The sequence below is a fragment of the Homo sapiens genome, chromosome 19 (assembly GCF_000001405.40).
Source record: "Homo sapiens chromosome 19, GRCh38.p14 Primary Assembly".
NCBI classification, from domain to species: Eukaryota; Metazoa; Chordata; class Mammalia; order Primates; family Hominidae; genus Homo; species Homo sapiens.
The window spans coordinates 53,412,753-53,428,807 of NC_000019.10; the positions used below are offsets into that span (position 1 = coordinate 53,412,753).

General features: G+C 45.2%; 2 protein-coding genes and 2 pseudogenes across 2 annotated transcripts in view; all 4 read left to right on the plus strand.

Annotated features, from left to right (window-relative positions):
* The window catches only part of ZNF765 (zinc finger protein 765), a 32,173-nt gene extending 17,604 nt beyond the window's left edge, over positions 1-14,569 (plus strand). Inside the window, exons 4-8 of the transcript NR_146721.2 lie at positions 10,310-10,750; positions 12,319-12,395; positions 12,578-12,699; positions 13,266-14,184; positions 14,335-14,569. The gene's annotated coding sequence lies outside the window, so the exon portion shown is untranslated. The remainder of the gene's footprint in view (positions 1-10,309; positions 10,751-12,318; positions 12,396-12,577; positions 12,700-13,265; positions 14,185-14,334) is intronic.
* Positions 1-16,055, plus strand: part of ZNF765-ZNF761 (ZNF765-ZNF761 readthrough) — a 63,113-nt gene that overhangs the window by 17,604 nt on the left and 29,454 nt on the right. Inside the window, exons 4-9 of the mRNA NM_001350496.2 lie at positions 10,310-10,750; positions 12,319-12,395; positions 12,578-12,699; positions 13,266-13,463; positions 13,996-14,184; positions 14,335-14,467. The gene's annotated coding sequence lies outside the window, so the exon portion shown is untranslated. The remainder of the gene's footprint in view (positions 1-10,309; positions 10,751-12,318; positions 12,396-12,577; positions 12,700-13,265; positions 13,464-13,995; positions 14,185-14,334; positions 14,468-16,055) is intronic.
* On the plus strand, positions 388-790 carry RPL39P36 (ribosomal protein L39 pseudogene 36; annotated as a pseudogene).
* On the plus strand, positions 10,046-10,937 carry VN1R101P (vomeronasal 1 receptor 101 pseudogene; annotated as a pseudogene).

Sequence of the window (16,055 nt, forward strand, 5' to 3'; positions counted from 1 at the left end):
TCGTGATCCACCCGCCTCGGCCTCCCAAAGTGCTGGGATTACAGGCATGAGCCACTGCACCTGGCCCACATCAGTTTTACAAAAAAAAATTAACCTTGTTTGTGCCGCAATGAAGAGGACTGACAGGTAACAGCAGAAATAGTAGTCAGGAGTTCGAGAACAGGCTGGTTAACATGGTGAAACCCCGTCTCTACTAAAAATACAAAAATTAACTGGGTATGGTGGCAGATGCCAGTAATCCCAGTTACTGGGAAGGCTGAAGCCAGAGAATCACTTGAACCTCAGAGGCAGAGGTTGCAGTGAGCCGAGATGGCGCCATTGCACTCCAGCCTGCGCAACAAGAGCGAAACTTTGTCTCAAAAAGAAAAAAAAAAAGATGTCAAGCCTCTTCTCTTCCTCTCTCCCCTTGTGGTGTGTACTTGACTCTGCCTCTCACCAGATCTTCTTATAAGACTTTCAGGATTAAGCGATTCCTGGCCAAGAAACAAAAGCAAAACCGTTCCATTCCCCAGTGGATTCAGATCAAAACTGGTAATAAAATCAGGTACAACTTTAAAAGGAGACATTGGAGAAGAATCAAGCTGGGTCTATAAGGAATTGCACGTGAGATGGCACACATATTTATGCTGTCTGAGCATTACAATCATGTTACCATATCAAGCTGAAAATGTCACCACTATCTGGAGAGTTGGACATGTTTTATTGGGAATATATTTTTTCTCTCTGAATCTGTTAGGAACATGTTGGTTGGCTGGGTTCAGTAATAAATATGTGAGGCTTTTCATTTAAAAAAAAAGTCAAATGATGTAATTGCATAGAGTACCTTAGTTTCTGTATTGCTTTTTAGGTTTTTTTTTTTTTTTTTTTAACTCCACTGGGTCAGTGGATCACACCTGTGATCCTTGCACTTTGGGAGGCTGAGGTGAGAGGATTGGCTGAGACCAGGAGTCTCCTGGGAATCTTCTCGTCTCCTGTAACCCAGTTCACGACAGACCCTTGGACTTTACTATATTGGAAAAATCTACATAAAACAATGTCAGTGTGTCAAAGCATTATGTCTGTCACAAGCTTGTGAAAGGAAAATAAAAATTACTAAGCCAAAGAGAAAAGTCAAGCTGGGAACTGCAGCAGACAAACCTGCCTTCCATTTTATTCTTAAACAAGATAGCTAGAAAGACAAAAAAAAAAAAAAAAAAGCTACATAGAGGCCGGGCACGGTGGCTCATGCCGCTAATCCCACCACGTTGGGAGGCTGAGGCGGGCGGATCACCTGAGGTTGGGACTTTGAGACCAGCCTGACTAACATGGAGATATCCCGTCTCTACTAAAAACACAAAACTTGGCAAGGCATGGTGGCACATGCCTGTCATCCCAGCTACTCGGGAGGGTGAGGCAGGAGAATCGCTTGAACCCAGGAGGCGGAAGTTGCAGTGAGCCGAGATCGCGCTACTGCACTCCAACCTGGACGACAGAGTGAGACTCCATCTCAAAAAAAAAAAAAAGAAACTTGCAGCAAACATGGTATGATATAAAAATCCTTTGCCACAGGGGAGAACCAGGTATGATAAGTTGCTACATGGAGAGCAATATGTGAGTTTCTACTCTGTCTTCGGGTGCCTTCCCAGAGATGCCCCCACATTTTCCTACAGCAGTGGGGATATAGGATGGACTGACCCTCCCCACCACACACACACACACACACACACACACACACACACACACACACACACACACACACCCCCCCCCCCCCCCCCCCCGGGGAAAAGCCCATATAAAGCAGTTCCCATTTCCCTCCACAAACTGCGGGCTCCCAGTGAAAACTACCTTATAGACTTTCTTGCAAATCCCATTCTTTTCTGGCCTTCTACGGGATGACAGGGGCCTAGAGAAGGCAGTACTGGGTGGAGTTACCTGGGTGCGCATTTGTTGGGATGTGGCATTTTATGGCTATTCTAAGGTCTGTTATCAGTTGTCTGTCTTGGGGAGAATGTGCAGTCGCCATGGTCCAATAATCCTCTATCCAAGGACCACACAGGTCACCACAGGTGCTCAATCAGTGTGATCCACATGGTGTGATGTGTGCTCTGGCAGGGCACAGATGGACACACTCAGCTCTGTCAATGTGTAAACAGGGAGTGCTGCAATGACATGGTTTATTCACAGTCACCATGGAATCTGATGTGGCATTTTAAAAAATGCGTAGATCTATTGCAACTGTTATGAAAACATCACTGATTGGCCACGCACGGTGGCTTACACCTGTAATCCCAGCACTTTGGGAGGTTGAGGCAGGCAGATCACCTGAGGTCGGGAGTTTGAGACCAGCCTGACCAACATGGTGAAACTTGTCTCTACTAAAAGTACAAAATTAGCCTGGCATGGTGGCACATGCCTGTAATCCCAGCTTCTCCAGAGGCTGAGGCAGGAGAATCACTTGAAGCCAGTTGGCAGAGGTTGGGGTAAGCGGAAATCACGCCATTGCACTCCAGCCTGGGCAACAAGAGTGAAACTCCATCTCGAAAAAAAAAAAGAAAAGAAAAAGAAAAAGAAAACATCACTGATTGGTGAAAGCTATTGAATTAGACAGAAATGTAACTCTGCAAATATATATTTAAATATTTAATAGTGAACAGAATATCTGAATGGTGTGTATATACATATATATGTTGTATGTGATTTCAGATGCAATTTTAGATATTCTATGAAATTGTGTAGGCAGAAGGATACACCTCAAACTGGTGAAAATTATGTGTAGATATAAATGACTACTTTTTATTTTAGTGTTTAAATATTTTATTACGTTTGTTGAGGTGTGTATTAACTTTCTAATGAATTACCACAGTATAGCCAGCAGTTTACTACAGCACTCATTTATTTTCTCACAGTTCACAGATGAAAAATGTGTCAGGTTTTTCTGGGTACTCTGTCTAGTCTCACCAGGCCAAAATCAAGGTCAAAGCCATGGGATCGACTCTTGAGACTGTGGGGGCAGAATTCTCTTCTAAGCTCATTCAGATTGTTGTCAGAATTCATTTCTTTCTCCTGGTCCCCATATTTTCAAAATACAGCATGTGAAATTACTCTCGTGCTCCTGAGTCCTGACTTCCTCCACTATTGCATCTCTCTGACATATATTTCTGCTTCAAGGACACATAGGACCCACCCAGATAATCCAAGATAACTTTCTTTTGTTTTGTTTTGTTTTTTGTTTTTTGTTTTTGAGACTGAGTCTGGCTCTGTCAACCAGGCTGCAGTGCAGTGGTGCCTTCTCTGCTCACTGCAACCTCTGCCTCCCAGGTTAAAGTGATTCTCCTGCCTCAGCCCCCCGAGTAGCTGGGATTACAGGCGTGCACCACCGTGCTGGCTAATTTTTATATTTTTAGTAGAGATGGGGTTTCACCATGTTGGCCAGGCTGGTCTTGAACTCCTGACCTCAAGTGATCCACCCACCTCGGCCTTTCAAAATGCTGGCATTACACACAGTTTTTTCTTTCAAAGTCAAATGAGGCCAGGCATGGTAGCGGGTGCCTTTAGTCCCACCTACTCAGGAGGCTGAGGTAGGAGGATCGCTTGAACGCAAGAGGCAGAGGATGCAGTGAGCCGAGATCGCACCAATGTACTCCCACCTGGCCGACAGAGCGAAACTCAGTCTCAAAAAATAAAATAAAATTCAAATGACTAGTAGCCTTCATTAATTAATAAATTACCAGACAAATTCCTTTTTGCAGGTAACATAAACAAGATTAGCACCAGGAGTTGGAGACCTGCCTACAACATTATAGGACCAGTAAACCTTTTTGCACTGAGAAAATAATTTGTCAATCTAGCTAGAAAATTATTACCGTCTGGGATATTTCGGTTAAGAGAAATTTGTATACTATATATTGATAAACTGTATTTGTAATACTCTATTTTACATAGTTATATAACTATACATCAATATAATTAACTATACATCAATATAATTATATAGTAATATATATTTAAATATTGGTAAACTCTACGTTTCTATGAAATTTCTATATTATTTGGTATTCAGTTGTGCTCACGTGTCCATTGATTTCTTTTCTTTTTTTTTTTTCTGAGACCAAGTCTCGCTCTGTAGCCCAGGCTGGGGAGCAGTGTTGTGATCTCAGCTCACTGCAACCTCTGCCTCGCAGGTTTGAGCAATTCTCCTCTCTCAGCCTTCCAGGTAGCTGGGATTACAGGCGCGCACCACCACGTCCAGCTAATTTTTGTCTTTTTGGTAGAGACGAGGTTTCACCATGTTGGCCAGGCCGGTCCCTAACTCTTGACCTCAGGTGATCTGCCTACCTAGGCCTCCCAAAGTGCTAGGATTACAGACGTGAGCCACTATGCCCGACCAGGTTTCTTTCATTTTTAAAAGACTTTTAAGTTCAGGGGTACATGTGCAGGTCTGTTACATAGGTAAACGTGTGTCATGGGAGTTTGTTGTACAGATCACTTCATCACCAGGATATAAATTCTAGTGCCCACTAATCATATTTCCTGATCCTCTCCCTTCTCCCACCCTATGCCCTCCAATAGGCCCCAGTGTGTGTTGTTCCCCTCTATGTATCTGTCTTCTCATCATTTACCTCCCTCTTATAAGTGAGAACATGTGGCATTTGGGTTTGTGTTCCTGTGTTACTTTGCTAAGGAAAATGGCCTCCAGCTCCATCCATGTCCCTGCAAAGGACATGATCTCGTTCTTTTTTATGGCTGCATAGTATTCCATGGTGTATAGGTACCACATTTTCTTTATCCAGTCCATGGGTGATGGGCATTTTGGTTGACTTCATGTTTGCTATTGTGAATAGTGCTGCAACGAACATACACGTGCATGCGTCTTTACAATAGAACAATTTATATTCCTTTAGGCATATATCCTGTAATGAGATTGCTGGGTCGAAGGATATATCTCTCTTTAGGTCTATTTTGTGGAAAGCAGAGTGGGAATTCAAAAATTTCTAATGTAAACTAACGGCTTCATGTTCTTCCTTTTACTTCCTTTCATGTCTTTCAAAATCCTTCTTAGGTACTTTGCCTGATTCCATTTATCTGCATATAACTTAAAAGATCAAAGGTCTAAATATTATAAGGAAATCTACTTTGGGTGGAAAGACTTCTCAGGGAGGCAGAGAATCCACTGAGACATACGTAGTGTGCGTTCAGTCCCTGATGTACCAGAGCTCAGTATTTCCTGCTTCCTTCTTGTGAGACCCTCTCTGCCTCCAGGGATCAAGGAGAAGAAAGAATCTCCCCAGACACTCCAAAATCCCTTTGGAGATGCTACCCGCGAATTAGTACATGTTTTCTTGGTAATTATAACAGGGAAATAAAAGTTTTAAAAATATAATAGCGTCCTGGCTGGGCACGGTGGCTCACGCCTGTAATCCCAGCACTTTGGGAGGCCAAGGCGGGAGGATCACGGGTCAGGAGATCGAGACCATCCTGGCTAACATGGTGAAACCCCTTCTCTACTGAAAATAGAAAAAATTAGCCGGGCGTGGTGGCGGGTGCCTGTAGTCCCAGCTATTCGGGCCACTGCATTCCAGCCTGGGTGACAGAGTGAGACTCCATCTCTAAATAAATAAATAAAAATATAGTAGCATCCTAGGACTGCACTGTCATAGCTGTGACAGGTAAAATGATCATTGCGGTTGTGACAGCAGGTGAGTACACAGAACCACAATCCCATATCTAGCAGCCTGGCTGCTGCCCTCTCATATAATACTGACTGGCATGACCAGCACACTGAGCTCACCATCCAGACAGAAGGATGGGTGAGGTGACTGTTTTATACTTCACTTTGACAGGTAGAGTATGGAATAGAAGGAGGTATATAAGAAGTCCAGATATGGCCGGGCATCGGGGCTCATGCCCGTAATCCTAACACTTTGGGAGGCCAATGGTGGGGGGGGCGGTGGATCACCTGAGGTCAGGAGTTGGAGACCAGCCTGCCCGACATGGCAAAACCCATCTGTACTAAAAATACAAAAATTAGCCGGGCTTAGTGGTGGGCCCCTGTAATCCCAGCTACTCTGGAGGCTGAGACAGGAGAATCGCTAGAACCTGGGGGGCGGAGGTTGCTGTGAGCCGAGATCACTCTACTTCACTCCAGCCTGGGCATAAGAGCGAAACTCCGTTGTGGGAGGAAAAAAAAAAAAAAAAAAAAAGTCCAGATAAGTGATCACATCAAGAAAAGCGAATCTTAGGGGTTTGAAACTAGTTTAATGTCAAAGCCACACAGGAAGGAGGAATAATTCCTGAGGCATGAGTTGAGCCAGGAAAGAGAGTTGGGGACTGTAGACCCTATACCAGTCCCTGATAGCTCCTAATGTAGTTTAGTTTAATCCTTCAATAATAATGATTTTTTTGGTGTTTAATCCACATGATAATGAAACCTGGGTTTTAAGGTGCTTGAAGACTGGAATTCTAAAATCTATCTGTGGTTCAGCCTACTTTACACAAATCATAGAAAGAGTTTTAAGGATAATTAGAAGTATGCCCTTATGACCCACATACTGGAAATGATTGGGATAAATCTACAAGAATTACCTAATTCTGTGCAGAATCCACACCCTCAAGTGGCAGTTCTGGGGCTAGAAATGTTATCTCAAAGTCTCCTCTTTGAAGGGCTAAATGGAGAGTCATTGTTTCTCTATTGAAAACATAAGGAGTCTGTTGATTATGGTGAGACTCTTTTCAGTCTTGAAGTTAGGAAGGCAACATTTAGGGAACAGGAAAGTTTTAATAATCAGTTTTAGATAGCAGTTGTCAGTCTTGAATTGTAATGCTGTTGTCTGGCTTAAAAGAAAGTCTAATATCCGGCTCTGATCACAACAATTCGGTAAGTTGGTGAGGTGATGCATACGTTAATTAGCTTGATTGAATCTTTCTACAATGTATACAGAGATCAAAACATCCCATTATATCCCCTAAATAGACACAATTATTGGCCAATTAAAAATAAATAAATGTGGCCGGGGCAGTGGCTCACACCTGTAATCCCAGCACTTTAGGAGGCCGAGGCGGGTGGATCACCTGAGGTCAGGAGTTCGAGACCAGCCTGGCCAACATGGCGAAACCCCATCTCCACTAAAACTACAAACGATTACCTGGGCATGGTGGCAGGCGCCTGTAATCCCAGCTAGTTGAGAGGATGAAGCAGGGAGAATTTCTTGAACCCAGGAAGGCGAAGGTTGTGGTGAGCCGAGACCATGCCACTGCACTCCAGCCTGGGCAACACAGCCAGATTCCGTCTCAAAAATAATAATAAAATAAATAAATAAATGTGGCCGGGTGCAGTGGCTCATGCCTGTAATCCCAGCACTTTGGGAGACCGAGGCGGGCAGATCACAAGGTCAGGAGATTGAGACCACCCTGGCCAACTTGGTGAATCCCCATCTCTACTAAAAATACAAAAATTAGCTTGGCGTGGTGGCGCATGCCTGTAATCCCAGCTACTCAGGAGGCTGAGGCAGGAGAAATGCTTAAACCAGGGAGTCAGAAGTTGCGGTGAGCCAAGATCGCACCACTGCACTCCAGCCTGGTGACAGAGCAAGTATCCATCTCAAAAAATAAAATATAAATAAATAAATGTAATCAAATCCAAATCTACCATTTCAGTTTATCAAATGCACAAGATTCCATGCCTTACAGATTTAATTTTTTATATATGTTCTATATTAACACCTTTTACAAAACTCACCTCAACACTTATTGTTTTACTCAATTTATGTATTCATTAATTGATGAGTATATGAACTGAAAATTGTGGGGAAAAGAAGGAGAGATCAGACTCTTACTGTGTCTATGTAGAAAGAAGTAGACATAAGAGACTCCATTTTGTTCTGTACTAAGAAAAATTCCTCTGCCTTGAAATGCTGTTAATCTGTAACCCTAGCCCCAACCCTGTCATTGCAGAGACGTATGCTGTGTTGACTCAAGGTTTAATGGATTTAGGGCTGTGCAGGCTGTGCTTTGTTAAAAAAGTGCTTGCAGGCAGTATGCTTGGTAAAAGTCATCGCCATTCTCCAGTCTCGAGTACCCAGGGACACAATACCCTGTGGAAGGCCACAGGGACCTCTGCCTAGGAAAGCCAGGTATTGTCCAAGGTTTCTCCCCATGTGATAGCCTGAGATATGGCCTCATGGGAAGGGAAAGACCCCTACCCCGACACCCATAAAGGGTCTGTGCTGAGGAGGATTAGTGAAAGAGGAAGGCCTCTTTGCAGTTGAGATAAGAGGAAGGCATCTGTCTCCAGCTCATCCCTGGGAATGGAATGTCTCAGTGTAAAACCTGGTTGTATGTTCTATTTACTGAGATAGGAGAAAACCGCCTCAGGGCTGGAGGTGAGACATGCTGGCGGCAATACTGCTCTTTACTGCACAGAGATGTTTGTGTACGTGCGCATCAAAGCACAGCACCTTTCCTTAAACTTACTTATGACAGAGACACCTTCGCTCACATGTTTTCCTGCTGACCCTCTCCCCACTATTACCCTATTGTCCCGCCACATCCCCCTCTCGGAGATGGTAGAGATAGTGATCAACAAATACTGAGGGAACTCAGCAACCAGTGCTGGCGCAGGACCTCCTTATGCTGAGTGCCGGTCCCCTGGGCCCACTGTTCTTTTTCTATACTTTGTCTCTGTCTCTTATTTCTTTTCTCAGCCTCTCGTCCCAACTGACAAGAAACATCCACAGGTGTAGAGGGGCTGGCCCCCTTCAGAAAATAGACATAATTTAATTTTATTTATTTATTTTTTTTTTTTGAGACGGAGTTTCACTCTTGTTACCCGGGCTGGAGTGCAGTGGCACGATCCCGGTTCACTGCTACCTCTGCCTTCTGGTTTCAAGCAATTCTCCTGCCTCAGCCTCCCTAGTAGCTGGGCTTACAGGTGCCTGCCACTATTCCTGGCTAATTTTTGTGTTTTAGTAGAGATGGGGTTTCTCCATGTTGGTCAGGCTGGTCTCAAACTCCCAACCTCAGGTGATCCGCCCACCTTTGCCTCCCAAAGTGCTGGGATTACAGGCATGAGCCACCACGCCCAGCCATGATAATTTAATTTCTACCCTACTTTATTTTATGATGCCCTAGTGTTTCACGTCATGTAGTTAAGACATGATATCAGAATGTCCATTAATTCCTGTGGTAGGTGCCATCGTACTTTCCTTCCTGGCATAAGAAGAAATGAGTCTCTGTGTGGCTGTCCTGATATGGGGTCGACTTTTTAAACCTACTTTAGTCATGAGGCAGATTCCTGTAATTTTATACTCCAATCAGTGTATCTACATTTTATCAAGGTCTTTAAAGATTTATTCATAATTGGTATCAGCCTCTGGGGTAATGTTTTACATGTCAATGGAAACCGGTGAAAAATAAAATTATGAAATTAAATGTCACCTGTGTAAAATATAAAGACCAGGTATAAAATAGAAATTAAATATGTATGTTCATTATTGGAAGAACCCCGCTAACTGGCTTTGACAGTAGAGCATGGTGGTTAATGCACTCTGAAATCAGCCCAGACAAGATCAGTCCCCATTCTACCCCAAACATGGTGTGAATTTACACAAATCATGTCACCTCTCTGTGCTTGAGTCCTCTTTGTCTTTATAATGGTGGTACCTGGCTCATCGATTATGAAGAATATGGAGGTGAATACATGTCTGTTCTTCACAGCAAAGAGCAATTCATTGCAAATACACTTAAAATAGGACACATCCAAATATGGCGAATTCTTCATACTAGAAAGTAACTTTATTATTTCTGTTGCATTTCAGCTGGGTTTATTTTTATTTTTATTTTTATATATTTACTTATTTATTTATTTTGAGACGGTGTCACTTTATCATCCAGGCTGGCGTGCAGTGGCGCGATCTTGCCTCACTGCAGCCTCAACCTCCTGAGTTCAAGGGATCCTCCTACCTCAGCCCCCACCAAGTACCAGCTGCCTTTTTAATGTCACTCATGCATCACGTTCCCTGCAGGATCCTGTGTCTCTGAAGATAAGTAGCAGCCTGTGAGAACTGACAGAATGGCTGCTGGGATGTGGCCATGGGAATGATCTTCTTATCACAGACTGTACTTGGAATCCTGGGAATTTCTATCTTATTTACCATTATCTGTCCTTTTACATCACTGGGTGCAGGTTAAGGTCCACAGATTTGATGATCAGACACCTAATTGTAGCCAACACGTTATTCCTCCTCCCTAGAGGAGTCCCACAGACAATGGCAGCTTTTGGGTTTAGGCATTTCCGGAGTGATTCTGGATGTAAATTTCTTTTTTGTGTCCACAGAGTTGTCAGGGGAGTGTCCATTGGCAGCACCTGCCTCCTGAGTGTCTCCCAGGCCATCACCATCAGCCCCAGGAGCTCAGGTGGGCAGAGCTTAAAGGGAACGCCCCCAAGCACGCTGGCTCCTGTGTGTTCCTCAGCTGGCTCCTCCCTGGTCAATATCATTGTTCTCATGCACGTGACCGGCAAGTGGAGCAACAAAAATACCACGAAGACAAAAGATCTGGGATACTGTTCTGCTGCTGATCACGAGGGCACCAGAGAGTCGCTGACGCGGCACTGCTGTCCTTCCCTGATGTGATCTGCCTGGGGCTCATGCTCTGGGGCAGCAGCTCCATCGTTTGCATCCTGCACAGGCACAAGCGGCGGGTCCAGCACATTCATAGGACCAGCGTGTCCCCCACATCCTCCCCTGAGTCCGGAGCTACCAAAACCATCCTCCTGGTGAGCACGTTTGTGTCCTTTTACACTCTCTCTTCACCTTTCAAGTTTGTTTGGCTCTTTTGAATAATCCCAGTCAGCTGGTGGTGAACATCTCTGCAATGATCAGTGCAGGTTTCCCAACTGTCAGCCGCTTTCTTCTCATGAGTGGAGACTCCTGTGTATCCAAGCTTTGCTTTGCTTAGATAAGTAACACAAAACCCCCTAATCTTATCAGAAATATGTGAATTGGACATGTTTGTACAATGTTTATGTTTCTTCATTGATCTCTAGAGACCCATAAACACGGTTATGAAACGAGGCTTGTTAGTGCTGTGCTTGCCAGCAGGGGCCACTGTTTTATTCTGTACCTCCTGATCCCCCCTCCAACCACACCGCCCTGGAGCAGCTCTGTGGAAAAAGTGGAATCAGCTTAGAGGTTTTGGAGAGGAAGATACTGAAACGTAAACGATATAAGAAAGTCACGGTGCACAAATATACATACCTCATTTCTGTGTCCCTTGGAGCAGATGGGGGAATGTGCGCAGATGCGAAGCTCTTGCTGTAATTTATGTGACAAATAATAAAATATATGTTTTGTCGGATCCAGAAATCTCATGCCTTCAGCCAACATCCATAAACTGACAGTCTAACTTGTTGGCTTGTAAGTAAGGTAAAAATCTAAAACTGGCCAGGCGCGGTGGCTCACGCCTGTAATCCCAGCACTTTGGAGGGCCGAAGCAGACGGATTAACTGAGGTCGAGAATTTGAGACCAGCCTGACAAACATGGAGAAACCTCATCTCTACTAAAAAAAAAAAAAAAAGAAAAGAAAAAAGAAAAAACATTAGCCAGGCATGGTGGCACTTGCCTGTAATCCGAGCTACTTGGGAGGCTGAGGCAGCAGAATCACTTGAATCCAGGAGGCGGTGGTTGCGGTGAACCGAGATCGCGCCACAGCACTCCATTCTGTGTGACAAGAGTGATACTCTGTCTCAAAAAAAAATCTAAAACATTTTGCAATTTCTGATAGTTTTGGTGATGCTGAGACAGATATGACTTTGTGTAAGAGGAAGGTAGAAAGATTCTTCACTGGCGTGGTTAGTAGGCAGAAAATGGCTCTCTGGAACAAGCAGCGAATTCTCACCCAAACTGAGGTGAAATGACAGTAAGACTTCTCCATTCTTTTTTTTTTTTTTTTTTGAGACGGAGTTTCATTCTTGTTGCCTAGGCTGGAGTGCAATGGTACGATCTCGGCTCACTGCAACCTCTGCCTCCCAGGTTCAAGTGATTCTCCTGCCTCAGCCTCCCAAATAGCTGGGATTACAGGCATGCGCCACCAAGCCTGGCTAATTTTGTATTTTTTAGTAGAGACGGGGTTTCACCATGTTGTTCAGGCTGGTCTCAAACTCTTGACCTCAGGTGATCCGCCCACCTCAGCCTCCCAAAGTGCTGGGATAACAGGCTTGAGCCACAGTGCCCGACCAAGATTCCTCCATTCTATAACCCTTGAATGGGACTGTTGTGTGAGAGGGAGGATTGAAATGAACTGTCCGAATGTGATTTATCTGTTGCTCATTCTCTTCCTGGCAGGAGCAGGAAAGGACAAGGAGTCCCCGAAGCTGACACTGAGTTCATGGGGTTGAGCTGACAGCGGCCAACAGGCTGTGGTAAACGCTAATGAAACGAGCCTTGTTAGTGCTGTGCTTGCCAGCAGGGGTCACTGTTTCCTTCTGTACCTCCTGATCCCTCCCTCCACCCACACCGCACTGCAGCAGCTCTGGGGAAAAAGTGGAATCAGCTTAGAAGTTTTTGGGAGGAAGACACTGAAAGTCCTACTTTTTTTTTTCAGATGGGATCTCACTCTGTCGGCCAGGCTGGAATGCAATGGTGCCAACTTGGCTCAGTGCAACCTCCCCACCCCGGGCTCCAACAATCCTCCCATCTCAGCCTCTGAAGTAGCTGGGACTACAGGTGTGCCTCATCACCATGGGCTATTTTTATTTTTGTATTTTGTAGAGGCAAGGTCTTGCCATGTTTCTCAGGCTGGTCTCAAACTCCTGGGCTCAAGTGATCTGCCCACTTGGGCCTCCCAAAGTGCTGGGATTACAGACGTGAGCCACCGTACCTGGCCTAAAACTCTTTTACTCCTGTTGCATGCAAGGATTTAAGTCACCAACGTACGTGGATTCCAGCAAGAAGGGTCAGTAGACGCAGGGGTGGGTAAAGGTGCTAAGGATGGTGGGGTGAAGTGTGGCTGCAAACAGGCAGAAAGAGACAAGCTTCTGACCCTGAATAGTCACCAAATGCTGGATGGTGCAATGCTAAGAATGCAGCACAGGCCGGGCGTGGTGGCTCACACCTGTAATCCCAGCGCTTTGGAAAGCCAAGGTGGGTGGATCATGAGGTCAAGAGATCGAAACCATCCTGGCCAACATGGTGAAACCCCGTCTCTACTAAAAATACAAAAATTAGCTGGGCGTGGTGGCATCTCTTTGTCTGTGTCTTTATTTATTACAATCTCTCATCTCCGCATACAGGCGTTATCTCCTGTCCGGGGAAGAGGTGGGCCTCTCTCCGTCGTGGGAGGAGCTCTGAACTTCTCCTTCATCCAGGGATGGGCCCCAGGGACCCACCAGTGGGGCTGGGAGAAGCCCCCCTCAGCAGGAAGACAGAGGTGCCTGGGTGGCCGAGGCCTGGAAGGTCTGCACCATGGTGCACAGAGGCCCCGGAGCTGGGTGAGGCCAGAAAGCTGCTCTGGGGTCAGCGGGGAATGTGCCTGCTGAATCTGTACCTGAGCTACGTCTTCACAAATGGCCTCAGACCTAGAGTGCAGGGAGATCCCCTGGCTTTTCTGAAGTGGTGGCAGGTGGTCTCCTGGGTAGCAGGATCTGGGCTGCTTACTTCCCTTACCCAGTGAGGGCCCGCGGGGAGCTCTTAAGTTGGGCATCATGGGGCTGCGTGATGTGGCTGCTGTGCCCACATCAGAGGGTTTTTGTTTCTTTTCCAAAGTCAAGCTGCACTAATCTAGACCAGGGATCCCCACCCCTGGGCTGCAGACCGGTCCCCATGGGTGGCCTGTTAGGAACTGGACCGCACAGCAGGAGGTGAGCAGTGGGTGAGTGCGCGTGACCACCTGAGCTCTGCCTTCTGTGAGATCAGCAGCGCCACTGCATCTCAGAGGAATGCCAACCCTACTGTGAACTGTGCATGCGAGGGATCTGGGTTGCATGCTCTTTATGAGATCAAACTAATGCCTGATGATCTCAGGTGGAACAGTTTAATCCTGAAACCATCCCCCCATCTGTGGAAAAACTGCCTTCCACTAAACCAGTCCCTGGTGCCAAAAACACTGGGAACCGCTAATCTAGACAGTTCTCTGCTAAGGAAGCACGTGGTTGAGAAGCATCAGAATCGTTCCCACGGACCATGCTCCGGAGTCTCAGCAGGCTCCTGCAGGTGAGCCCCACTGGCCTCTCCTCTTCCTTCCGGACCTCCTCAGCTTTGGTAATGGAAAGCTGCATCCTCTTCTGTCCCCAGTTCCTCTCTGGGTGTCAGGATCTCTAAAACCCTCTCAGCCGCTGAGAAGTCTGTCTGTCTGTCTCACAGTGTGTTTATCCGTGCATCATGAAGGACCCTCATACGGCTGACGTGCCTTGGCTGATGCGAATAACACTGCAGCAAGCGTGGCAGTGCAGATAGCTCTTGGAAATACCCATTTCCTTCAGACGCATACTCAGAGGTAGGATTGCTGGATTGTTTGGTCATTTTGATTTTTAAAATTAAAAAGAATTTTAATTCTCATATTGTTTTGAGTAAAATTAAATTATAACTTGTAAGGCAACTCCATGTTTTTTAGAATTTTTAAGAAAAATAATTGCTCTACCAATTGACTGTCCCAACAACAACGTACAGGGGTATTTTTTTTCCTCCGCATCCTCACCACTTGTTACCTTTTGTCTTTTTAATAATAGCAATCCTAAGACATGTGAAGTGATACCTCACTGTGATTTTGATTGGCATTTTCCAGATGATTAGTCTATTCAGGCCCTTTACTTTTTTTTGTTGTTGTTGTTGTTTTTGAGATGGATTCTCACTCTGTTGCCCAGGCTGGAGTGCGATGGCACGATCTCGGCTCACTGCAACCTCCGCCTTCCGGGGAGGCGTGATTAGCCACCACGCCCGGCTAACTTTTGTATTTTAGTAGAGATGAGGTTTCACCATCTTGGCCAGGCTGGTCTCGACCCCCTGATCTCAGGTGATCCACTTTGCCCAGCCTCCCAAATTGTTGGGATTACAGGTGTGAGCCACCACGCCCAGCCCCTTTGCTCTTTTTTAATAGGGTTATTACTATTACCATATTTGCTTTTGAGTTGTGAGTGTTCCTTATATATTTTGGATATAAACTCCTTATCACAGGTATGGTATATATGGTTTGAAATATTTTCTCCCATTATCATGCCCCAATATCACTAAGTTACATTTCACTGCTCCCTCTTGAACACCTGAAAAAATTTCCTATTTCCATGTGTCTGTATCCAGGTTATTGTCACTTTTACCTGAAGACACATTTATATATGCTGATATTCCCCAATAACTAATATATTTTTACTCTTTTTTTTTTTTTTGAGATGGAGTCCTGCTCTGTCACCCAGGCTGGAGTGCAGTGGCATGATCTCAGCTCACTGCAACCTCTGCCTCCCAGGTTCAAGTGATTCTCCTTCCTCAGCCTCCCAGGTTGCTGGGATTACAGGCACATGCCACCACCACTAGCTAATTTTTTTGTATTTTTATTAGAGATGCGGTTTCACCACATGGGTCAGGCTGGTCTTGAACTCCGGACGTCATATGATCCACCCGCCCTTGGTCTCCCAAGGTGCTGGGATTATAGGCATGAGCCGCTGCACCCGGCCCTAACTAATATATTTTAAATAACTTTTTGCTCTTGGCACATGGACTAAAACCACATCACCAGGCCTTCAATGACGTCCAATGTCTGCCATCTTATTTCCACTCCAGCTCCGCCCCAGGCATAGTTGCCTTTCTTTTTATTGAAGCCTTCTCCTTGCCAAGTTAATTAAAGAGAATGTTTTCTTCATCAAATTAGAAATTACATCCTCAGAGCTTTCCAGTATTTGTAGTTCTTACAGGCCACATTTATTACAAGTTTATAGACTCCAAACTTCTCCACTGAACAGTTAATAAAAAGGACACAGGCTTATTGTAAAATAATTCATTTAGTGCCTGCCATTCTGATTACACTAGAAATTTAGTTCTCCTGCTCAGCGTTCTGTTATGTGACTGTTCAATGCATTACTTAAAACTGCAAG